Below are 26,206 nucleotides of genomic sequence, written 5' to 3' on the forward strand. Positions count from 1 at the left end.
CAATATTTAGATTTTAATATTAAATCTTAGTGTTCTGAGATTTCACAACAATTAAATTAGGTATAAGTGGTTTTTCACTCATTTAATGAGATACTCATGGGGCCCCTTAAATATGAAAACTCCTTCAGTTGTTTGGCTATAGGCATTTATGTTGTATTGCTCTAATTGTTCCTTTTATTATTTTCCTCCTCTTTCAGTGTTTTTCTTTCAGAACTTCTCTTAATAGATATTGACTATATAGTGTTGAGAAAACAAAAAATGATAGAGGGAGCCCTCTCCATAAGACACAGTAAAAGGAGTTTAACTACTGAATAAGCACATCTAAAGTACACTGCATATTGTAAGCAGTCTGTAAAAGAGGCTATAAAGTCCAGATAGAATTTTCATAAATTAATTCAGTAAAGCAGAAGAAAGAAAAATTAAAATTAAACTTTTATCTCTTTGAGAGATAAATTATTGCACCTTGGAATAGTCTCCTGTAATTCCTGGGAGACTCCTGAGGTCATTTTGGAGGCAAGAGTTTACAGTTTCCAGAGCCAGAAAGCCTTAAAAACAATAGGCCAGTGTTGAACCATCCTTCCGTCCCAGGGATAAATTCCAGTTGCTCATGTGTGACACTGTTAATGTGCTGTTGAATTTGGTTTGCTGGTATTTTGTTGAGGATCCTTGCATCTATGTTCATCAAGGAAATTAGCCTGTGATTTTCTTTTCTTCTAGTGTCCTTCTGTGGATCAGGTATCAGCGTAATGCTGGCCTCATACAATGAGTTTGGATTCCTCTTTAATTTTCTGTAAGAGTTTGAGAAGTATTATTCTTAAATGATTGTATCTTTTCAAAATGTTTGGTAAAATTCCCCAGTGAAGCCATCAGGTCCTGGATGGGCATCTTTTAAAAATGGTAATTCGCTTGACTTTGGTAATTATTTCACAGTATATATGTATATAAAGATATCATGTTGTATACTCTAAATATATGTAATTTTTATTTGTCAATTATACTTCAGTAAAACTAAGGGAGTTTTTAAGAAAAACCACAATAGAACAGACAAATTTGGAGTTTATGATGTTTTCAAGGAGACACACTGAGGGGAATGGGAAAAAAATTGTATAATTTTATCCTTACAATAGTGATACTAGCTAACATTTGCCAAGCAATTAATAATGTCAAACACATTACTAAGGACTTTACATGTATTAAATGACTTATTCACATAATAACACTAAAGAATGGTTATTATTATTGATATTATTATTATCTCTATTCTAAAAGTGAGAAAGAAACAGGGAAGCTAAATTACTTGCCTGAGTTGACACAGGTATTAAGGGACAGCCAGTATTAATCCCTGGCAGTCTGGCTCCAGAGCCTATAGTCAAGCATCCCACTTAGTACTTTTCTATGTACCTTTTCTATCTCTATTTTTTCTTTTGTTAATAATATCCTTTTAGTCTTCCTGGACCTTTAACAGCCCATTCTTCTACTTCAGCAATGCACTCCTCAGCTTAGTTCGTTCTGCTCTTTGGTCTATAAATTAGACTTTTATTCTTTAAATATACGTTTTAAATTAAAAGTACTATAGATATTTATTTGTTGTATATGACATATTCTAAAATATCTTGAAAATATTAAATAAAGCTATTCTAAAACCTCTGTTTTCCCTATTTTGATACTCAGTTTGAGCTGCTATGACAAATTACCTTAGACTGAGTGGCTTAACAACACGTATTTATATCTCACAGTTCTGGAGGCCAGAAAATTGAAGATCAAGATGTCAGATCCAGTGTGTTTTGTGAGTCTACTTCCTGGTTTACAGATGGAAGTTTTGTATTCTCATATGGCAGAGATCAGAGAAAAAAGAAAACTCTTGTGTCTCTTCTTATAACAGCATTGATCCTACTCATGAGATTCTATCCTACTGACCTACTTACCTTCAAAAAAAAAAAAACAACCTGCCTCCTAATACAATCACACTGGGGCTAGTATTTCAGCATGTAAGTTTTGACGGCCACAAACATTCATCCCTAACACTCCTATTGATTATTTCTTCGAGTAACAAGTTTTTTTTAGGTTTTATTTTTGTAGGTTCTCATTCTTGATGTTGTTTCCCATAAGTGTCAAGCAGTCTTTCTAATGAAAAGTATATGCTTGAATTTTCTGACTACTAAAAATTATGGCACATAGGGTTCAAAGAGATATACTTGTAGCTTACCTTCAGAGAATGGTGTCATCCATTGACTTTTTTAACCTCTTCGGTCCAAATATCTATATTTTCTTCTTTACCATATGGATTAATCCCACTTCTTCCAGCTGTTCAACAAAGGATGAGTTTGGAGGAGACAGTGACTTATAAGTTGCTCCAATTTGATTCACCCATATTTGTCTCACAAATCCTTTTATCTCCTTATCTCAGGGTGAGCCCCATTTCCTACATGTCTCCTGCTTTCATTTCACCTCTCGCCTCTACATCTATACAGTCTTTGTCTGATCCCATCTGCAATTCTACTGATGTTCCTCTACCCACTTAGTACTCACTTAAATCTTCTAATGATTTCTCCAAAAGTCTATGAGAGTTCCTCTTTCCCCCAACATAATATACATTTATGTATGTGTATGTATGTTTATATGTATAACATAGTATATGGTGTGTGTGTGTGTGTGTGTGTGTGTGTGTGTGTAGACAAAGACTTCCCGTGACATAACTTTAGTCAGACTCTGCTAAACCCTCAAAGCTCCAACCTTGAGCTCTGTCCATGGCCTGTTTAGTCCAGTTTTAACAATAATTTTTCAGGTCAGTTTGGGAAAAATCATCCACTCTTGATATCTGATTAAATCCTCATTGCCCACCCCTGATATCTTATCACTCTGCGCTGTCTTCAGCAAAATTCCTGTCAAGTAGGTTTAGCCAAAATTGTCCTTATACATTATGATACCTTAGTAATTTTTTATTCTGTGACCTCTACCTATCTTCTTAGCTATAAATCTCCATTTGTTCTTGTTATTTTTGGAGTTGAACCCAATCTCTCTCCTCTATGGAAAAACTTCACTGTTGTAGTCTCTCTTAAATAAAGTTCTCTTTCCCATCTTTAACAAGGGCTATGAATAAATTTTTTATAGTTACGGTACAGTGATTCAGATAGAATCAGACTCATCATTGGACTCCTGGACTTTTCACTCAGGACCCCAAGTGTGTATCTTTGAAGATTTCTTCTTCATTTCTGATTGATCTTAGATCCACTAGTACATCTAATTCCTGAGCCAGTGCTTGGTTGACAGTTTGTTGAACCATGGTAGGGACAGATTTTGATTCTTAGGATTTGGAGTATATCCTTGAAAGCTGGGTTACAGTCCCAGGCTTCTTTTGAAAGATACCTCCTGGGCTGCAAGTTCTTCTGCCTGGCTCCTTGTTTTGATTTGGATTCGATCCCTGACTTCTGGGCTGGAAAACAGTATTTTTTTGGGGGGGGGGGCGGTGGTGGTGGCTTTCCCTTTGATGTCTCTATTTAATCCTGCTCTGCTGATGGAACTTCTCAATCAACTGAAATCACCTTCTCAGATCCTTGCTAACCATATGCCCTGCCAACTCTATCCACTTGTTTTTGTTGGCATAATTTTACTAAAGAGCATTTGGAACTATTTTAGCACCTTTGGAAAACTTAACATCTCCCCAAACTAAATCCTCTTGGATCTCTCTCACCATTACCTCTGCTTTTCCACCTTTTCTTTTTACCACCTTTGATCTTCCATTTGGCTTTTGGCATCCTTTGCTATATCCTCCTTCAGTCCTCTGCCTCTTCCTCACCTCCATTCACCCTGCCAGACGTTTCTGCTCCCACTCCAGCTCCTCAGCTTCTTATAGACACTTAGGCCTTTTGCCCAATCAGAGATTCTCAAGCGATTCATCGATCCCCAAAAGCAACTATCAGAAGCTGAAAAGAAAAAAAAGGTTAATTAGAAACAAACTGGATATTTTGTTTTCTTACATATTACTTTTTTTTAAGATTATTAGTCTGCTTTTAATAAGAGATAGTAAAATGTTTTTCTTTACCTTTTCAATAATCTGCCTAGGAAACCACAATCTTGTGTCTTATCAAATTAATATCCCATGTGTTATGTTCACTTTTATCATGTCCTTAATCATTAAAAAAAACCCCAAGACTTCTTACATATATTTTAGAGACTGGAATGCAGTGGCTCTTCACAGGTGTGATCATAGCATAGCACACTACAGCCTCAAATTCCTTGGCTCAAGTGTTTCTGCTGCTTCGGCCTCCCCAGTTGCTGGAAATACAAGTGTGTGCCACCAAACCAGGTACTAAATTAAATATTTCTAAGCCTTCCAGGAATATGGAAACTAATCCAAATGCTCTACATGTTCACATGACTTGGGTAAACATCTTTTGATAAATAAAATTAGTTCAATATTGTTAGTTAAATAAAAATTGGTATTTCATCATTAATTATAATATTGGCATATATTTTTATTCTACCTGGATTTACTAGTTAATTAAGGTGTTTATTTCTATTATTAGATGTTTAAGATTATTAAAAATAAAAATTCAACCTAAGAACAAATGTACAAGTAAAGATACAATCAAATGTATGTACAAGTACAAGTAATGTACAAGTAAAGATACAATAAAAATGAACTGCTTGAAATACATTACTTCATGTATATCAAGCACAGAAATAAAAATAAACAAAACTTCACGTATTTAACTTTTTAGGTTTATGCTTTTGTGATGCTTTGCATACCGTGCAAGTGCTATAAAATACTTAACAGGGAAATAACTTGAGATGAGAGTTAGCTTTGTTTAATGTTATCATATGTCTGCCTAAAGATAATTTTTAAAATAACTTGTAACTAAAGCTATGCCAAGTTAAGTAATAGATATTTATTAAATGTCTGGGCCATTTCTAAATAAAGTAAACTACTGAAACTTAATTACTAACATATGTTCAAGATTACATACTTTTGACATCTTATGGAATACAGAGACTATGATTATATATGTTCTGTTAATAAACAGTTTTATGCCATCTAAAAATTATACTTTGGAAATGTATATGCCCCTTTAATTATAAAATAGTATATGCATACATTTGTTACTCTGCTAGAGAATGCTAGTAAATGACAATTTTCTACTTCCTGGTTTTCTCTGTAAAAGGAAGTTAGTTATTAATGGTTAAAAATATAATCAATATATATATAACTAAACTAGAAATAATAAGGGTGAATGAAGCAAACAACTCAGTATATAAAATATGCAAAAACGTATGTGTTTTTAATAAGGAAAAATACACTGGGATAAATGATTTGTTTTCATTAAAGGAAAAAGAGAGTAGTTTTATCCTATGGAATTATGACTATTGATATCCATAGATAGTTTTTAAATTTTCCTAAACTAGATGAAGTGGTTAATACAGGTTGAAAGTATGTTTATGAGCCCACTATTGAAAAAAAATAAAGAAAAATGTCCTAAATTTCAAGATCATGCATTTGAGTTTTATTTAGAATGGAACAAACAGTCATTAAAAATTCTGGATGAATGCTGTTATCATGAAAATGTTTAGGAAAGTGAATATGACAATAGACAGTAAAATAATTTAGAATAAAAGAAACAGAAAAGTAGGTTTACTGTTAGAGAAAAATTTCAATAGGACTGAGTAATTAAAGATCAAACAGGTATGGGAACACAGTGTTAGGAAGAATCACAGATATTATTAAATTCAAATACCTTAGTGTGCAATGAAGAAAATTAAATTTAGATATGCACAGAGACTTCTTCAAGGAATTACTGTTCATTTAAAGGAGTACATTCTAAGGCAGAATACAGTCATTTTTATTCTCAATCCAGGGTTCTATTACTCTTTTCTGTGATTTTAATATCAAATTTTGGTCATATTTTAAAACTTATTTTGGGTTTATTCTTTTAGGAGTTCAATACAATTCTGACACCTTGTACTTAAAAAATATTGATAACCTCCGTTTTAAATCAATATTGCCAATCAAATTTATAATGTACACGCACATTTATTTTGCAAATAATTTTCAGTTGAAACAATGGAAATAGAATTCATGAGTTATTTCATGCAAATTTTAACCTTTAGCTTTTGACTGAACATCTAGAGTATTCTTCCAGTCAAATTTTAATCTTAGATGGTAGAATGCAGAATCCATCAATCTAGACAAATCTAGAATTAATGTAAGCTTGACCACCCACTAGCTCTTTGACTTTGAGTAAGGTCTTTGAACTCTGTGGGTTTTAGATTTTCAATCTGTGAATTTAGAAAGCAGTTCAGAGGCTCTCTGAGTCCCTTCCATCTCTAACAGTCATTCATCTTATCATCTCTAAAATTCTGAAATTCAACAGAATCCAAAGCTTATTATGAGCTAATAGTTTCCATGACAATCATTGTATACTTGTGTACACAAGTTCTGAGGCCATTAGATTTGTAATAGGTTCAAAATTTGTGGAGAGTGACGTGAAAGCCTTTGCGTTTCAGTGTATCCATATGTATATATATATAGATAGATGGAGTCTAGCTCTGTCATTCATATATATACATGAGAGAGAGAGAGAGAAACATGGAGTCTAACTCTGTCACCAGGCTGGAGTGCAGTGGCATGATCTCGGCTCACTGCAACCTCCACCTTCTGGGTTCAAGCAATTGTCCTGCCTCAGCCTCCCAAGTATGTGGGACTACAGGTGCACACCACCACACCCAGCTGATTTTTATATTTTTAGTAGAGATGGGGCTTCACCATGTTGGCCAGGTTGGTCTCAATCTCTTGACCTCTTGATCCACCCACCTCAGCCTCCAAATGGGCTGAGCCCAGACCCATATTTTGAGTTTAGTACAGATGCTCTGTTCTCAGGAATTCTTTTGGGCTTTAATATTCCAGACATTTTCCTTATATTTCTCTTTAAGTTTCTATAGAATTAGAATATTCATAGCACCTAGTTCAGAAGGTGTGTGAACTTCTGAACTATGAGAATGGTGTGTCGTAAAATTCACCATTGGCTTACACATATGCTTACACTCTTGGTATATTTTATGACGTGCCAGTCTCACAGCAATGATTAAAACAATACCTAGCACATAAGACTCAAAAATGATAGTTGTTATCATCAACCTTCCCAATGTGGTCACCTTGCTCTCTCATCAGTTGTTATGTATTAGTAGTGTATTTGACAGTTGTTACATAGTTACCATTATGTAGCATGCCAAATATTTAATAAACCATTCACTAATGTTCAAAAGCTAGAATGGAGCTATGTGTTCATCTTTATTCAGAAAACAATGTACTGAGGACATTTCTGCCCAATGTAGAAAATTTCAAGCCAGACCACAGTTTTTTAAAAAGCTCTCTCTATTGCCCTAATTTCCAACTGTGTTTTAATATTTCCCCAGTATCTTAAACTGAGTTAAAAACCAGGAAGCTTTTCTTCACTGGATTAAAAATATAAAACAAATAAATAAGTTACAAAACAAATAAGCAAGCTACAAAACAGATTCTGGGCAATTTTTCTTCTGTCTTCTTCCTTTCTTTCCATCTTCCAGCTCTTTAATATTTATTTTCATATTCCTGTTTCTGAAATCCCTTCACTTTGTTAACTTCTTGATTTCTATAGTCTGCTAGATAAATGTGATTCTTGTTTTTCTCAGGAAAGAGGAACTAATTTTGAATTGAAGGTGTGATAAAACTCTCAGTCACTCCCATGTGTACCTGTACAACAGAGACAAACCAGAACTGTGGAAAAAGTAAAACTAGTTGCATTAGCTGCAAACTTGTTATTGGAAGGAGTAAACCTCTGTACATATCAACCAATATTAAAAAAACCTTGATTATAAACAACTTGATTAAACCATAGGAAATGGAGTATAAGGCCTTTAAAAAAGAAAGCAACATCCAAGCAGAGACTGGAATGGAAGGTGATGATGGTAGGCCAGAAAGAGTCAGCAGAATTTGAAAAATCCAAAAAAGAATTTTTTTTAGGATGTTCAATGGTTTCACGAAAAGGAACTGGAAATTGTATTAGAAATGAGAAATTGTATTTAAATAGTCTAACATTTTTATTATGTAGACTACTACAAATATAGCTTGGGTTCAAAATTTCTCAATTTTTGCTTTGCTTTGCTTTCATTAAGTCACCTATAATGGACATATATTAGTAAGTAGACTCAAAAACTCCAAATTTAATATGCTTTACATAGAACATTTTTTACTATTTACAAGTTACCGCATAGGAACGTTAATACTTGATGATGAGAAATAAGACAGATTTACATGTTACTCAGCTCATTCACTTAATAATTAATTTTATTTACCCACCATTCAAGGGAAATTCCATTTTGAAACTTTCTTTGCTAATTTGAGAAGAGGTTTCTTGTGCATAACAAAGCTCTATTTTATATGATCTATAGAAATATTTGTAATTACAATATTATTAGAATCAATCTTCTGCCATCCATAAGTTACAGTATGAAATTCATTTTAGAGAATTTTTACCAACATGGATTTCTTTCCTACCTGTTTTTTATCTTAAAGTTAAAAATCCTTGTTATTAACCTATTTTTCTCTTTTCTTTTCATGGTTGTCCCAAATTTTTTAAAATGATAACTAATAGATGAGCAGATTGCTGGACAATTTTAAAAACCTAAATTAAAGTCACAAGAACAGAATTTCTTTCAGAACCCACTAACTAATTAATTGTAAAACTTTAGAAAAACCCTTTAACCTGTGGGTGAGTTTACCTATATTTTCTGAGATATTTTCTAAATTAAAATACTTTGTCATTTACTCTCCTCTGAGCTGACATTGTGAGACATGTTTTCAAAGATGTTTCTTATGATGAAAACATGACAAACATGATAATGATATTATAAATCTTTTCATTTCCGCCACAGTTTTCAAGAAAAAGATATGGCAGACAACGAGTTGGTAGATATTCTTAAAAATTGTTATTGAAATTTACAGTAGAGGCAATCAGGTAATAACCCTGTGTTTTCTGAACTAAAAACTCAACCTTTTCTCACTCAGTGGACTCTAAACTAGAGAGAAGTACAACTTTTGCTGAAGAGATAAAAAACCTGTAATAATAATGAAATCTGCATCACACCACTACAATTTCTACCAATATGATTATGTCAGATGTGACAAATTTTGAAAAGGTCTGTACAACTATCACCTATGCACCTCTACACTCCAGACAATTCTAAAGAAAGAAGGAAGAGAGGCTGTGATTTTTTTGTGAGGGTGGGGGAAAATATAATGGTACTAATACTTTACTACAAGGCAGAGGTAGCTATTAGGTTGGTACAAAAGTAATTGCGGTATTGCCATTAAAAGCAATGGCAAAAACCACAATTACTTTTGCACCAACCTAATCATAGGCACTTGTGAATTATGTAAAGATTATATGTAAGACCAATTATTTGATATGTGAGATAAACACGATACTCTTGAGCAATTTATGGGCTATATATAATTTGTACAAACACGGTGGACATATTCTCATTAGGATAATGGTACTTTATAGTGTCCAAAAAATAAATCATACGTTATGGTAATATGATCTCATGAAACCCTAAGGTGATCTGAATCCTGGAGTAGAATTGTGAAATCAAAGCTCTATTTTTAGTTATTTTTTGACTGTACACATGTAGTGGTGGGCAGGCCATCAATCTCTGGGAACCTGTGTTCCCTCCTGGACAATGCCTATCTTAATCTTACAAAATAAAGGAATAAAGTATGCTTAAGCATATTAAATAACTTCAGAAATTCTTGTGTGGCTTTTTGTTTCAAATCTAAATATACTTCTATTTTCAGTAACTGAGTTTTTCTCTAATATTATTTTTTGAATAAACTTAAAAAAAAATCCCAGAATTTCCTGGTTTTTAAAAAGCGTATTGTTGTTTCTTTATTTCCTCTAAGTTGATATGTCAAAAGTTTAAATGGGGAATGTGATGGCCAGTTTTATGTGTTAACTTGACTAATCATCAGATGCCATATATCTGGTTAGACATAATTTCTTAGTGTGTCTGTAAGGATGTTTTAGGAAGAGATTGGCAATTCACTTCGTGGACTGAGTAAATCAGATGGCCCTCCCCAGTGTGCATAGACAGGCATCATCCAAACCTTTGAGGGACTGAGTAGAACAAAATGGCAGGGGAAAGTTGAATTCACAGTCAGCAATGACTGCTAAGCTGGGACATCCATCTTCTTCTATTTGTGATCCTGGTTCTCAGGACTTTAGAATCAGAATGGAATCTATACCACTGTATCTCTGGCTGTAAGGCTCTCAGGTCTTTCAAATACATTACTGGCTTTCCTGGGTATCCAGCTTGTAGATGGCAGATTACTGAACTTCTTAGCCTCTACATGGTGTAAACCACTTCCTTTATTAAGTCTTATTTTTAATTTCATTTATGTATACAAATCAGCGGGCATACCTTGTGTTTTTTTTTAAATTCCTCTTTATTGTTCTTCAAAGATATTGAGGTTTTTACAAATTGAAAGATTGTGGCAACCCTGGGTTAGGGAAGTCAGCACCATTTTTCCAACAGCTTGTGATCACACTGTGTCTCTCTGTTATAATTAGGTGATTCTTACAATATTTCAAACTCTTTCATTATTATTATAACTGTTATGGTGATATGTGATTCGTGATCTTTGATGGTACTATTGTCACTGTTTTGGGCTGCCATAAGCCATGCTCATATAAGATGGTAAAATTAATCCATAAATGTTGTGTGTGTTCTATCTGCTCCACCAACCAGCTGTTTTCAGTCATGCTCCCTTTCCTCAGGCCTCCCTATTCCCTGAAATTAGGCTAATAGCCCTACAATGGCCTCTAAGTGTTCAAGTGAAAGGAAGAGTGGCACGTCACTCACTTTTCATCAAAAGCTAGAAATGATTAAACTTAGTGAAGAAGGCATGTCAAAAGCTTTAGATATGCTGAAAACTATGTCTCTTGCCCAAAACAGCCAAGTTGTGAATGAAAAGAAAAAGTTCTTGAAATAAATTCAGAGTGCTGCTCCAGCAAACACATGAATGGTAAGAAAGCAAAACAGCCTTATGCTGATATGGAGAAAGTTTTGGTAGCTTAGATAGATTAGTCCAGCCACAATGTTCCCTTAAATCAAAGCCTAATCCAGAGCAATGCTCTATTTCTCTTCAATTCTATGAAGGCTGAGAGAGGTGAGGAAGCTGGAGAAGAAAAGTTTGAAGTCAGCAAACCTTATAATATTTACAAAATAAGACATGTCCCTAAAATAAAAGTACAAAATGAAGTAACAAGTGAGGCTATAGAAGCTGCGGCAAGTTATCCAGAAGATCTAAGATAGTTGATAAAGGTGGCTACATTAAACAACAGATTTTTCAATGTAGATAAAACAGCCTTCTACTGAAAGCAGAAGCCATCTAGGACTTTCATAGCTAGAGCAGAGAGGTCAATGCCTGGCTTCAAAGCATCAAAGGGCAGACCAACTCTCTTGTTAGAGGCACATGCAGCTGTTGACTTCAAGTTTAAGCCAGTGCTTATGTACCATTCTAAAAATCATGGGCACTTTCAGAGTTACGTTGACTCTACTCTGCCTTTGTTCTATAAATGGAACAATAAAGCCTGGTCATCCAGTATATCTCTTTACTACATGGTTTATGGGATATTTTAAACTCACTGTTGAGACCTACTGCTCAGAACAAAAGATTTATTTCAAAATATTACTGCTCATTAATAATGCATCCAGTCACTCCAAAGCTCTGGTAGAGACAGATGTACAATAAGATTAATGTTGTTTTAATGTCTGCTAACAAAAACTATTCTTTGGCCCATGGCTCAAGAAATAATTTTGACTTTCAAGTTTTATAATTTTTAAAATAAATTTTGTAAAGCTATAGCTGCCATAGTTACTGATTCCTCTGATGAATCTGGGCAAAGAAAATTGACCACCTCCCAGAAAGAATTCAACATTCTAGATGTCACTAAGAACATTTGTGATTTATGGAAGGAAGTCAAAATATCAACATTAACAGGACTTTAGAAGTGGATTCCAAAATGTGTGAATAACTTTGAGACATTAAAGACTTCAGTGGAGGCAGTCACTGCAAATGAGGTGGAAATAGTGAGAGAATTCAAATTATAAGTGGAGCATCATGATGTCATTGAATTGCCACAATCTCATGATAAAACTTGAACAGATGAAGAGTTGCTTCTTATGGATATACAAACGAAGTGGTTTCTTGAGACAGAATCCACTTCTGGTGAAGATGCTATATACATTGTTGAAATGACAAGCAAGTATTTTAAATATTAAATAAACTTGGCTGATAAAACAGTGGCTGGGCTCAAGAGGACTGACTCCAATTTTGAAAGAAATTTCTACTGTGGGTAAAATTCTATCAAACAGCATGGTATACTACACAAAATCTTTCCTAAAAGGAAGAACCAATCCATGCAACAAACTTTGTTTTCTTTTCTTTTTTTTTTTTTTTTTTTTTTGAAGAACATGCCACAGCCTCTCCAACATTCAGCTATCACCACCCTGATCAGTTAGCAGCCATCAACATTCAGGCAAGACCTTCCATTAGCAAAAAGAATACCTCTCACCAAAGACTTAGGTCGTGTTAATATTTTTTAGCAATAAAATATTTTTAATTAAGGTAAGTACGTCGGTTGTTTTAGACATAATGGTATTACTCATTTAACAGTCTACAGTAGAGCATAAAAATATCTTTTATATATACTGAGAAACAAACAAAAAGAATGTGTGACTTGTTTTATTGCAGTGGTCTGCAACTGGACCTGCAGTATATTTGAAGTGTGCCTGTATATTTATGTCTGTATATAGATATATAGATGATTGATAGATTAGATAGATAGATAGATAGATAGATAGATAGAGATATTGATAGATACGTTCTGTTTCTCTGGAGAACCGAGAGTCCTGACTATCACAGGAGATGTAAAAAACATGAGGTTGGCTGTGGTGGCTCACGCCTGTAATTCTAGCACTTTGGGATGCCGAGGCAGGTGGATAATTTTGAGGTCAGGAGTTTGAGACCAACCTGGCCCACATGGTGAAATCCCACCTTTATTAAAAATACAAAAATTAGTTGGCAGTGGTGGCACACACCTGTAATCCCAGCTACTCAGGAGGATGAGGCAGGAGAATCGCTTGAGCCTTGGAGGTGGAGTTTGCAGTGAGCCGAGGTCATGAAACTGCACACTCCAACTGGGGTGACAGAGTAAGAATCTGTCAAAAACAAAAACAAAAACAAAAACAAAAACAAAACAAAACATGAAGTCTCTTCCAAACACCATATATACAACATGGTCAGGTATGAAGGAGCTATCCACGGCTCCCAAGACCAAGGTATAACCAGTTCTTAAGTTTGTGAGGAGGTAAATAGACATTAATGATATTCTTCATGGACTTATGAGGAAATTTTTTTTTTTGGAGCTTTACATTTGGACTACTGTGATTCTTTATCCCACTTAATTAGATCCAGGCATCCACCAGGAGAGATTTCAATATTCTTCATCTGTTCATAGGCCTCCCTCATGTCTTCCCTAAGCCTCACTCCTGCATTGATAGACAGTTTTTACGTAGATTACAGATATTTTTTTTCTAGAAATTCTCTTAGTACAAACTTAAATGGTAGCACTTTTTGTCTCACCATCTTAGGCGATTTACAGAATGGAATTTGTGTTATTGATAATTTAAATAACTCTGCTTTACATTTGGTAAACATACTAATAGCATTAGCTTATAAATAGCATTTTACAGCCTTCTGAATGAGCAGTAAATTCTTTTAAAATATTGTGGGGAGAAAAGCATGTAACATTGAGAGTTATCCTCAGAATCCTAAGATCTAAAATTACACAGCAGAAAGAAGTATGAGATATTAGGATTATCTTACTATTTTTGCAAGTTTTTAATTATAATGATTATAATTCATATACATCATTATATATACTATTTAGTTCTAGTGTCACTAATGAAATATATTTTATCACCTACCTCTAAAGATACTATGAACATTACCCTATTTTTTTCCAAAAAATAAGTTGAATATTTTCCGAGATATTGATTTTGATAACAGTGATTCAAATTTGGAAAAAGTAATTATGGTTACATAATTTTAAAATACTTTTATCAGTATCTCCTAACTTTCCAATAAATAACTTCAATAATAACATATTTGAATTTTAGGCAACATATTATATAAGATAATGGTATTGAAATGTGGAGATAATTATTGGGCTTTACAACTGAAGCCACATCAAGTATAATGTTAGCATGAGAAAAACAGAGAGAGAAAGAGAATTGTTGGGATCTATAATATATGCTACATTAATTGGAATAGTAGTATGAGACAGACTGAACATGAGAGAGAGTAAGAGAGAGTAGCTTTAAGTGAAAAAATCATTCCCAATAAAATAAATTATTTGGATAACAGTAAAAGAAGTTGAGGTCAGGTTAATAGAATTAAAATACTTATTGTGAGTTAAATTTTTAAAAATCACAATGTTCCCTACATTCTAATATTAAGGGCATAACAAAATTTATCTCTTTATTGTACTGTGTACATTTCATTTTTATTTTCCAATAGTACAAATTTTAATCAAGTGTTCTATTTTTTACTGTTAAAAGTACTATAAATATGAGCCGGGTTAAATATTACATTTTCAATAGTTTTTTTATTATACACATAGACACATGCATTGTAATAGACTGTTGAGAAAATTAGGATTTATCTTTAGCCTTTGGTTTCATTTTTCTCTAAATCATTGCAATGTAAAGGATATATCAAGTTTTCTTTGAAATAATTGGGTTGTAACCAAGTGTAATTGGGTTGAAACCAAGTGAAAGCACACACCGAATATTAAATTTATATTTAACAAAAATTTTTAAGAGAAAATGTTTATTTTTGCTGTAAATAATTTAATTTTTTACTTTTTTAACTTCTCATTTAGAAAACCAACCAGAGCATCAAAACTATTTTTTTAAAAGATAAAAACTACATTTTCATCTAAATGAGGAGACAGAAAATCTTGCAAATTCCTTATCTGTTCTAAATGTGGCCAAAGGGCTAAGCCAGCTAGCAAGCCCACATGGGAAGAAGACTTGGGAGGAAAATCTTCTTGTGGTTGTATATTTCAAGTACCTCTAGCATCTATCCACTCCCAGAATAAAAAAAGTTCCATCCTGATAATAATCTGTAGTAAGTATAATATTATCACTGTAAATTGAGAAGAAAGAAGGCACAGAAGTGTGTGGGAATACCCAGAGGTGACTGATCTCATAAAGTCCCTGCCAAATACAACTTCTAAAAGTGACTGCTTCACATTTAAAGAAAAGGACTCTGTCTCTTGGAAACAGTGGACTGTACAGTAATGAAAGAAAACACAGTCCATTAGTAGAAGTCCTTATGAAATAGATTAGGTTCTGAGGGTCACAGGAAGAGTGGCCACACACTGGTGGCATGAATTAAGAAAACAGTCCACCACTATAATAACAGAGGTGGGAGACCTTAAAATGTGAAACCTCACAAGCTACTCCCTTTCTCCAGTCCACAAAAACCTCTTGCTATTAGTCAGAAAAATTAATTCATTCCAACACAAATGCCAGAAAAGGAATACTCAAAGATTCATAGAATTAGACTTGAATATTAAAATGATCAACATACCATTTATAATAATAATAAAATATCACCAGAAAAATGTTTTAACAATGATTTTTTAGAAAATGATAACCCAATTCCAATATAAATTTAAAAAAAAGCAATTAGATTTATGAAGTAATACCAAAGTAGATACACAGGAATTCAAGTAATAGTCAAATAATAAGTGCAACATGATGAGTAAAGTACAATGAAATGTAAAATGGGTTCTGAAAAATCTTTATAATTTTTTAAAATTATGAATAAATAAGAAAGACTGAAGAAAATAGACATGACACAAAACATAATGAGAACATAGAGAATAGAAAAATGTGAATACAATGATACAAATATAAAGAAAGAAAAAACAGTATATTAAAGTGAAAAATTATAGATATGAATTATAGGAAAAGGCAAACCTAAAATATGCATAATTGGGGTTGGCAGGGAAAACCTGAAAAAAACAATTCAAAATATAATTGAAGAAAACTTTTCTGAAATTAAGCAAACATGGTTCTTTACCTGTAATTCAAAACCCAGAATGTATAGGATAAGCTATCATCACATTGCCCCAGGAGAAAAGAAATGAGGTAAAGGGAAGATCTGTTATTGCTGGGGATGAGTATAATAATTATAATAATGTATTTATCTCTGCCCCACAAATGTCATGTTTATTTTCAGAATAATATGAATAATGGTATACATTAAAATCTTATCAACTTTTTGCAATCACCTTACATTCATCCTGTTAGTAAAAGAGGGATTACCACCCTAGTTCATGAGGATGTCCAAATGCATGACATAAGACACTGGACAGATGAGGTCAACAGAAGTTTAAAATCAGATGTATTCACAACCTGGGAGAGAAGGAATATCACATGCCAGGCAGGGCCATTTAAATGTTCACTCAGGATCAGAGTGAGCTATCAGAGACTTTTGGAGGCAGGCTTTATAGTACCAATAGGATAGAATATCCCCTCTGCTTATATAGGATTTAAAAAATTCCATGGGCTGGCAGGGAACTTAAATGTGCTACTCACTGATAAACATATCGTCGAATATTATTTAGAAATGAGCTTTAAGGCTTGAAAGACATGGAGAAAATGTAAAGCATATTGCTAAGTTAATGAAGCCAGTTTGAAAATGCTACATACTCTATAATTCCAACTAAAAGACGTTTTAGAAATGAACTAATATCAAAGAAGAACTAAATAAATGGAACGATATGTCATGTCCATAAATAAGTAGACTCATATATGTTAAGACATCAGTGCTTCCCAAGATCTTGATCTGTAGTTTCAATACAATCCTGATTAAACTCCCAGCAAATTATTTTGTGGATGTAGACAGACTGATCCTAAAATTTATGTGAAGAGGTAAAATATCCAGGATAGCCAACTCAATATTGAAGGAAAAGAACAAAGTGAGTAGACTGACACTATATGATTTTGAGACTTATAAGTCTTCTGTAATCAAGGCAGTGTGGTATTAGCAAAATAATAGACTAATAAACCAGTGGAACAGAGTAGAGAGCTTAGAAATATACCCACTTATAGTCAAGTGATCTTTGATAAAAGAGCAAAGGAAATATGATGGAACAAAGATAATATTTCAACAAATGATGCGGGGCAACTGGACATTCACATGCAAAAAAATGAGTATAAATACAGACCTTACACTCTTCAAAAATATTTACTTAAAATGGCTCATAGAACTAAATGTAACATACAAAAATCTACAACTCCTAGAAGACACCATAGGAAAAAAACCCTTATTATCTTGGGTATGACAATGACTTTTACAGAGAACTTCAAGGGCACTATTCACTAAAAAGAAATAAGATGGATTTCATTAAAATTAAAAACTTCTCCTCTTCAAAAGGCACTGTCAAGAGAATGAGAAGACAAACGCCATAGACTTGGGGAAAATATTTGCAAAAGACAACTGCAAAATGTTTTAAAAATACTCTTTTATATAGCTTTTACATATTATTGCTTTATTTGTCCTGTATCTGTTGACTTGAAACATTTAAAGAAAATTAGTCATTTTTTTTAAAAAATTGCAATTCACAAAAATATATATTAAGAAATGGAAAGAGATACCATGTGCTTGGAGAGATTCAGCATGATAAACATATTTATACTCCCTAGATATTATATGCATTTAAATATCCTTTTGAATCTCTTATATTTATTGATTTAAAATATTAATTTTAGATTAAATAGATGCCCAGTGTAATAATTTTAAATAAATTTGAGAAGTGAAAAATAAAAAGAGAAAGTATTTATTCCTTGCTCCTACCCAACTGTGCCCTATATGGCTAATTTAATACTTTGGTGTATATAGTTATTGACATTTCCCTCTTTTTTGTTTTTAGTGTTTTCTGTGTTCCATGGAGACTAAAATACACTCATTTTTATTTTACATGGAAATTACATCATTATATGAACTTGTTTGTCAAAGCAGTTCTAAGTTATTTTCTGCATCTTTATCCTCAGCAATATAGGAGGGTTTATGACATAAATTCATTTTAAAGCCAGGAATTGCTTGTAGGCCGGTTAAATACAGGAAAGTGCTTCTCCTCTTTATTAAGTGATCCAGTGATTAAGTTATAAAAAATAACTTTTAATCCAAAGATACCACTGGATTTGTTTACTTTATTTTTAAAACCTGATTGATTATACAGAATAGTAGTACAAGTTTTCTGGAGAACGTGGTTAAGAACACAGGCTCTGGAATCAATTCCCATTTATTCCAAACCTGATTCTGTCATTTAGTAAATGTATGACCCTGTACATGGTAAATGACCTTCCAATGCTTCAGTTCCTCCAACTAGAAGATAGGAATAACTAGAGTTTCTACATCTAGGGTTGTTGAAAATAGTGACAGTATTTGGTTAGTATTTAAAACACTGAAATACTGCTAGCTAGTTTTAGAGAAACGCCCCTTTTTAAAAAAGTTTACATTTTTTCAGGTGTATAGCATACTGATGCATATATCTGTATTTATGCAAACACACATATATATGTAGTCAGTGTAGATAGTGAATACTTTGGTGGAAGTCAAATTGACAGAAATCAAACTATAGATAATAAAATACTAAATTAACCTAAGTGGAAATATAAATGGAATGTAGAAAAATTCAGATTTTCCAGAAATAAATTACCATATTTCAAATAGTGCCGATTTATATACCTTGAGATTTGAAAATTATATTTTTTGTTAATTTTTAAAGAAATATATTTAAGAGGACTAAGGCCAGACATTAGTCTGAAAAATGTTGGCAGTGAATAGAGGGTGGATAGCCTACACAATGGGTATGTTTGCCAACACTCTGATATGCTCTATACATAACTTCAATTAATATTTTTTTCTTTTATATGAGCTGGTCCTTTTAAAAACCTATAATTATGTTTTAGATAAGTTGTAGAATGGTTAAGTTTGCAGTTCCTTATTACAATTTTGTGCTTGAATAAACTTCCCTGTATGTATTCATCTAAACAATTGAATACTGAGAGAGTTTTTGGAAAACTCTTGGAGAGAGTTCTTGGAAAGATGATTTATGTCACTACTAATTCGTGCAACAATACAAAAGCAACTTTGAAACTATATACAAGATGCCATAAAAGATATTTCTAGAAACATGAAAATGGACTTGTGTTCATTTTGAATCTTTAGAATGAATATTTCATGTCAACAATCAGATTGTTTGTTCTATGAGGCAGCTCTTGCTACTAGAAATTTTTAATTAGAGCCCAAATACCTAATTTTTGAAGATTCCTCAAGCTTTTATCTTTAAAAAAATTAAATCAAGATTTTTCAACAAATAAGAGAGTAGATTTCTTTCTAAACTGTATATGTACTCACTGGGAAATGTTTATTAAATTATGGCTTTATGCATAAATTCTCCAATAATAGGTATTATTTACATTTAAAAGTATGTTTAAAATAGAAACATAATTCCACTGTAAGAAAAATTCCAACTTCTCAGCCAACATTGGAAAAATAGGACATTACATTTTCTAATTTTTGAGAAAGCCCCATTTTTCAACTTAAACCTTGTTGTGATTATGCTTGCTATTGCTCAACCTAACCATATGCCCTGTTTTAATTTAATGTAAGTATCTTCCAAATGATTATAGCAAATATTAATAATGGTGGACACATTTAAATAGCAGGTGAAAGAATCAGAGAAGTTGAAGTTTATTCAATGTAAATTATAAACCCTAGACAACCAAGATAAAATGACATTTGAAGACAAAAGAGCAAAGCATCAGACCTGTGGGAAGACATAAAGTGCACTAACATAGTCCGAGAAGAGAAGAGAGGAAGAAAGGAAAGAAATAATATCTTAGAAAACATAATGACTGAAATAAATTTGATTGAAAAAATCTACAAATTTAAAAAGCTTACTAAATCTCAAATAAGATGAACATGAAAAAGATCCACTTCTAAACAAATAATTGTCAAATTACCAAAATACAAACCCAAAGACATCTCTTAATAGCAACACAACAAAATGACATCATATTCAAGGGAACAACTATACAATCTACAGCTGACTCTATACAATTTATAGTGGATGTCTCATCTTAAACAAATGAAGCCAGAAGCCAATCAAATTGTACATTGTATATGGTGAAAGAAAATAACTATTATCAAAGAGTTCCATCTTAGCCAAAAAACGTTTTAGAAACACAAGCAAAGTAAATACATATAGAGAATTTAAAAATACAATAACCTCGAGAGAATTTGTTTCTAGAAGGAATTTTTTAGCCAAAAAATTCCTTCAGGCTAAAAGAAAGTGTCACTAGACTGTAACTCAAATCCGTAGAAAAAAATAAACAGCAAAGGCAATGGTAAGATATTGGAAAACATTTGAAAACCCCCTAAATACTTTCTCTTTCAGAAGCTTGCTATATTTTATCAAAAAAATATTAACCTGAAGTAGTTTATGATAGTCACTTGTAATTTCTTGATAAACTAAGAAAATAACTCAGAAGTACACATAAAATACATCAACAGAAGACTTTAAATGACACACCAGAAATATTTATTTACCAAAAGATAAGACAGTAAAGGTTCAACAGAGGGAACAAAATAAATATAATCCATATAGAAAACAAAAAAATGCCAGACATAAATAGAGTACAAAGATGGTTTTATTGAATAAGAATAGACTAAAATTCCCATAAAACTTCAGATATTGTCAGATAAGATAAAATATGAGATCCAAATATATTTCTAAATATGTTATTTTTTAAAACGGAAAAATGTATTATGAAAAATATGGTAAATAAGCAGGAACGTTTATATTAAATAATCATACAAAATAGATATCAAGACAATAAATATTACCATAGAATAAAGGAGTATTTTATAATAATAAAAGGGTTAATACCCGTAGAAGGTATGACAACTATAACCATATATTCACCTAAAAATAAAATTTCACATTACATAAATTGAAAACTGACATATTTGAAAAAATAGATAACTTAGTGATTATGATTTGTGATGACAATAACTCACTCTTGAGACTTGACAGAATAACTAGACAAAAATATCCATAAACATATTCAAGACTGAAGTAAAACTATCAACTCACTTGAATCAACTGATACAAAAATATATAATTGGTATATATATATATATGAATATGTATTTACATATATTTATATATATTTACATATATTTATATGTATAAATACATATGTGTGTGTGTATATATATATATAGAGAGAGAGAGAGAGAGAACACTTAGTCTAACAACAGAAATAAATATTGTTTAGGCCTGTCACCGTGGTTTATGCCTGTAATCCCAGCACTTTGGGAGGTCAAGGTGGGCAGAACACAAGGTCAGGAGTTCGAGACCAGCCTGACCAATATGGTGAAACCCCATCTCTACTAAAAATACAAAAATTAGCCAGGCATGGTGGCAGATGCCTGTAGTCCCAGCTACTTGGGAAGCTGAGGCAAGAGAATTGCTTGAACCTGGGAGGCCGAGGTTGCAGTGAGCCGAGATTGAGCCACTGCACTCCAGCCTGGGACACAGAGTGAGACTCTGTCTCAAAAAAAAAAAAAAAAAGAAAAGAAAAGAAAGAAATATTCTTTTATTCTTTGCAAACACACATTGGACATTCTTTACTACAGAACATAAAAGAGGCCCTATAACAAGTCTCGACAAATTTATAAATACTGAAATATTCAAAGTTTGTTTTCTGAACCAATAAAGTTAACTTAAAATTATCAGCACAAAGATATTAAGAGAAATTTCCAGATATTTAGAAATTAAACTGTACAATACGTAATAGTCAAAAACAATTTACAAGGGAAGTTAGAAAATGTTTTAAACTAGATGAAAACTAGCACACAACTATCAAAATTTATGTGATGCAACTAAAACAATGTTTAAAGTGAAATTATTAGTTTCAAATGCCTATATTATAAAAAATACATGAAATAACAAGCGAGGTTTCATCCTAAAAACTAGAAAAGAAGAACAAATTAAGCAAAAATGAAGCTGAAAAAATAAATAATAAATGTCGGAGGGGAAATAAATATAAGTAAAAGAGAGAAGCAACTGGAAAACTCAATGAAACCAAAATTCATTCATAGAAAGAATCAAATAATTGATCAACTTTTAGCTAGGTTGACAAAAAGAGAAGCAAGAGAAGAAAAGAAGCAAATAAGAGAGGAAAGGCAAATAGAGTAATTAAGAATTAAAGAGATGCTATAATAAAGGAATATTGTAAATAAATGTATCCTATGTAATTAGACAACTTACACTGAGTCAGCATACTAATAATAAAACACTTCTTGCCAAAATTCTTTCTAGAAAATATGAAAAATCTGAATATACTTACAATAAGTAAATAAATTGGTTTAGTAATTAAAAACTTCCCCAGGCCCGGATGCCTTTACTGGCTGAATTCTATCAAGTATTTAAAGAGCAAAAATAGTGATTATACAGAATACTTTTACAGAAAATATAAGGAGAAAATATTTACCAGTTCATCTTTGAGGCTATTATTAATATTTTACTAAAGACAGACAGAGTCACAACACAAGAAAACTAGACAAATATATTTTATAAGGATAAAATTGAAAGTCCTTAACTAAATTCAGAAAAAAAAATCCAGAAACAAAAAAAATTACACACTGTCTTTCTGAACTTTCTATTCTATTTCATTGGCTCATGTGTGTCCTCATATATCACTCCCACAGTGTCTTAATTACCGCACAGTTATAGTAAATTTTGAAATTGACGATCATTAAGTCCTCCAACTTCTTTTTCTTATTTTTAAACTTTCTAGGTGTATTAGTCCATTTTCATGCTGCTGATAAAGACATACCTGAGACTGGGGAAAAAAGGAGGTTTAATTTGACTTGCAGTTCCACATGGCTGGGGAGGTCTCATAATTATGGCGGAGGATGAAAGGCACTTCTTAAATGGTGACAGCAAGAGAGAATGAGGAAGAAGCAAAAGTGGAAATCACTGATAAACTCATCAGATCTCATGAGACTTACTCTATCACGAGAATATCTTGGGAAAGACTGGCCCCCATGAATCAATTACCTCCCACTGAGTCCCTCCCACTACATGTGGGAATTCTGGGAGATACAATTCAAGTTGAGATTTGGGTGGGAACACAGCCAAACCATATCACTATGGGTATTTTAATTCCTTTACATGTCTGAGTAAATTTCAGCATCAGTTTGTAAATTACTATGATTCTTTACATTCTTTGGTTATTTATAGGTACTGTTTTGAATGTATTTTTCTATTTGGGTTAAATTGCCATTTTAATAAAATTGAGTCATTAAAGTCAGGAAATTGCCATGACTATCCATTTATTTAGATGACCTTCAGTTTATTTGTGTAATGCCTTCTGATTTTCATTGTGCAGGTCTTACACTTCTTTGTTAATTTCATTTTAAACTTTTTTCTTTTTGATGCAACTTTAAAAGTGTTTCATAATTAATTTTTGTATAGCTCATTGCTAGTATATAGACTAAAAATTCATCTGTATGTATTGATTTTATATCTTGCCTATTTTCTGAACTCAAATTATTACTTTCAGTATTTTTTGTAGATTTCTTAGGATTTGCTACATATAGGACTATGGTGTCTGCAAATAAAAGAATATTACTTCATCTTTTTAATCTGATTACTTTTATTTATATTTACTTACCTTACTGCACTGGATATAACTTTCAGTTCTACTTTGAGCAGAAGTGCTTAGAGCTATTATTCTTGTCTTATTCCCAATCTTAGAGGATAGCTTTTAGTCTTTTACCATAAAGTATAATTTTAATTGTAAGTTTTTATAGATGTCTTTTGGGAAAATTCCTAGCACAAGATAATCTCTTTGGCAAAGCAGATCCCAAAATAAAGATGTCCATGTCCAACAATCTCAAGGAAAATGTAGTTATCAGTAACTTTGTAATTTTTGCTTTCATGAAGAGATAGTATCTACCCAAAATATCAGAGAGAGAAAAACAGTACCTGTTCTTTAATGCTATCTCCTAAAACCATTTCTCACAATGTTCCAGATTTAAGTGGATATAGAAATTGAACTGTTTTTGCTTAGATTGTTTTCTCTCCCAATGGACATTGGGCTAAATAGATTGCAGATTTAGGAAGAGGTTTTTTTCCCCCCTTTTTTCTTAGAAAACAGAATTTCTTTTGTGCAATAAACTGGTGATCACTGCTCATCTCCCATACGACAAATAAATGCATTTTTCTTGTATAGAAGCTATCTTATTTCATATAGGTCAGTGATGAGGTCATATAAACAGTGATGAAATCATCAAACTGAGGAATAAAATCCTCTTGAACTTGTAATTATTTGTATTTTATGAGCAGAACAAGAGAATCAAACAAACAAAAAAACCCCAGAAAGTTGTGGATTTAAATGCCAACATTTAGGTCAACTCAATTAATTTGTGCTTTCAGCTAAGATATTGTATTGCTAATAGAATTTTAAAAACTTAAATTTTATAACAAAATTTCCATGCAAACTTTTTACTACTCATAACAAATTTCTCATAATAATTTTATAAGTTATGAATCATTTTTATGAACATAACATATTTTAAGTTAAAAACTATGCAGAAAAAGTTTTAGTGTATGGTCCTATTTGGTCAATATACTTGGTAAACATAAAATCTCATTGAAGTCAATGATAATTTTATTCTCAGAATTGAGTAGGACACAAGATGAATGAAAGGCTTCTCTTAGGACTGTATGCATACAACACACGAATGCATTTAGCATTTATTAAATTAGCCCAAGGAATAGTGTTGCTGTCATTTGTTTTGATCAAGTAAATATTTTCATATACTTTATATTTTTGTCCACAGCATATTAACCATATTTTCTTAAGAAATTTAATAACATACGGCATTCAGAGCTAATTTAGAGCAAATGCCATGAGGAGAAAACAGCAAGATCCTATCAAGTGCCTAGTTAGCTGTTACTCTGTTGACTTATAATATGTTACATTTAGAAGTGAAACAGTTTGTTGAACATTTTACATAACCATTAGAAAAACTATTCGTGTGTATTATTTAAGAGATGACTTTTTGGTTGTTTACTTTAGGAAAGCCTCAAAATAGGACTTGACTTGTATGCTTTAATCTATTTGCCTTATTTTAGGTTGCAAAGAGAGATTTATCTTGCCGTCTAGTTAGAAGCACTGATGATTATACATTGGATGCATCTCCTCTTGCCATCTTGCCATCTCAAAGACGTTTTCCTGATGTTTTTCCCTGTTTTAATTTGCTCACCAAATATTAAAATTAAAAAACTCTTTACATGCATGATACTACCATCCTATTCACATCATCCATTTTATAAGACATGTCTTAAGAAAGTTTTCAATATCTGATTTCCCTTATATATTATTCCCTTTTTTACTCTTTCAATAAGAATATAGCTCACAATATACTGTCAAAAACATTCTTATACACTTTTCCAACGATTTCTATCCAAATTCAATGGTCAATTAAAACACGTCATTGAGTCATGACTTGACTTCTATCAGATTTTGATATTCTTGAACATACTGTACATAGTACCATTTATTCATTTGATTTCTAGAATAAACTATGATCATTATTTTTCTCTGATCTCCCTGACCACTTAAGCTCCTCTTGGGAGATTCTTTTTCTTTGCAGATCTCTTGATGTTGGTGTAACCCAGAGATTAAACCTTGACTCTCTTTTGGTTTGTGCTCTCTCACTAGTTGATAACATTTGATCCTGGGCTACAAATACCATTTATAATGTACAGATAACATCCAAATTCATATCTCAGCTCTCATCTTGCCCTCATCCCAAACTTAATATATTGAATCACTTTACTTGAATTCTTCATCTAGAGAATACCTCAAAAGATCTTAATTCCTTCTCCCACCTTAAATATGGTCTTCTCTCAGTCCTGTCCACTTATGTCTCCTTTGCACATATTTGATAAAGACACAGTCCTAGAATCACTCAATTTTCTTCTTTTCCTCTTATCCCTAACATGTAATTCCA

At 32.3% G+C, this 26,206-nt stretch overlaps 1 long non-coding RNA gene across 2 annotated transcripts; it reads right to left on the reverse strand.

Annotated features, from left to right (window-relative positions):
- Positions 1–377: 377 nt before the first annotated feature.
- LOC105377672 (uncharacterized) lies at positions 378–6,224 on the reverse strand. Of its 2 annotated transcripts, none has more exons than NR_188479.1 (4): positions 5,733–6,224; positions 3,797–3,923; positions 2,207–2,304; positions 378–788 (listed from the first exon to the last, which is right to left on the reverse strand). It is a non-coding gene; the product is annotated as an uncharacterized LOC105377672 (long non-coding RNA). The 2 variants fall into 2 exon arrangements; NR_188478.1 differs by having other exon boundaries at positions 3,698–3,923.
- Between the last annotated feature and the right edge of the window lie 19,982 nt (positions 6,225–26,206).

The sequence above is a fragment of the Homo sapiens genome, chromosome 4 (genome assembly GCF_000001405.40).
Source record: "Homo sapiens chromosome 4, GRCh38.p14 Primary Assembly".
NCBI classification, from domain to species: domain Eukaryota; kingdom Metazoa; phylum Chordata; class Mammalia; order Primates; family Hominidae; genus Homo; species Homo sapiens.